At 49.1% G+C, this 1,037-nt stretch overlaps 1 annotated feature.

Annotated features, from left to right (window-relative positions):
• Positions 337 to 506: an enhancer, noted in NCBI's record as "experimental_99247 CRE fragment used in MPRA reporter constructs". NCBI's record gives its function as "activates a minimal promoter by MPRAs in K562 erythroleukemia cells, with activity observed for both the introgressed and non-introgressed 7:45261310 variant alleles {active_cell/tissue: K562}" and the evidence as "EXISTENCE:reporter gene assay evidence [ECO:0000049][PMID:34662402]".

A 1,037-nucleotide genomic window follows, 5' to 3' on the forward strand; every position in this document is an offset into this window, starting at 1 on the left:
TCTTCTGGCCAGTCCCCATGCCTGGCTAATGGCTACGGGCACAGATTCATAATTTCCAACCCACCACTGTCTCTCTGGAAAGGAAACGATTTCTCACTTCTAGAAACACAGATCTGCAAAAGAAACCAGGACACAGATACCTCCGCAAACAGCCCCTGCCATGGAAAATCACCGAGAAGGGCCCTGCAGGGAAACAGACTCCAGGGTTGGCAATTGATGTGTAGTTTATTTTTCAGTGGGGAGCATTGATCTTTCCTGCAGGAGTGAATGGGTCCAGGCCCACCTCCCATGAGCTCATGAGATTCCTTTACAAACCTAGTGACCAGCTCCCTTGGGCCAGGAAGCCCCGTCCCTCTCTCTGGGGTCTGTCACCCTAGCCAGAGACCAAGGCTGCCTTCTACTGTGGAATCTCTAGTGGTTACAAACAAAATTCTCTTTGGAATACCTGGTGAGTAGTTGTCAAAATTTTATTTAATTCATCAACAAACAACAGGCTGGGTGTGGTGGCTCATGTCTGAAAAACCACCAACAACAGACTATGCCTCTGAATGTTGCAGGAAAAATTATGAAATGATGGCAAATAAGATCTTCCAGGTGTGTTTCTGACAATAAAACTACAACACCTTTGCAAGGACTTCCCTTCCAGGCCATAAAACAGCTGCCATGTCCCTTTCCACAAGCCTGACCACTCAGCTGCCATTCCCTTATCCATTGGCCTCCTTGCTTCCGCACTGAGCACTCATGTCCCAGACCGAGTGCCTCATCCTGGCTGCTGCACTGCGGGTCGCTCCAGTTCAGCTCAGGGAAGGTGGCACCAGTACTTACAGTTGCTCTGATCACAGACCTTTGAGTCATAATGCCTCTCTTTCAAAAGCCACATTTTCCAGTTAAGGCAGCTGATTCTACCTTCAAAACATATCCAGAGTCCAGGCACAGCTGACCACCTCCATGGCCACCTCCTGGTCCAAGCTGCCTTCCTCTTTCCTGGGCTTCTTCCAGGTCGTCCTTCAGCAGATGCCCAACTCATTAAGAATAAA

This window comes from Homo sapiens, chromosome 7, assembly GCF_000001405.40.
Source record: "Homo sapiens chromosome 7, GRCh38.p14 Primary Assembly".
Taxonomy (NCBI): domain Eukaryota; kingdom Metazoa; phylum Chordata; class Mammalia; order Primates; family Hominidae; genus Homo; species Homo sapiens.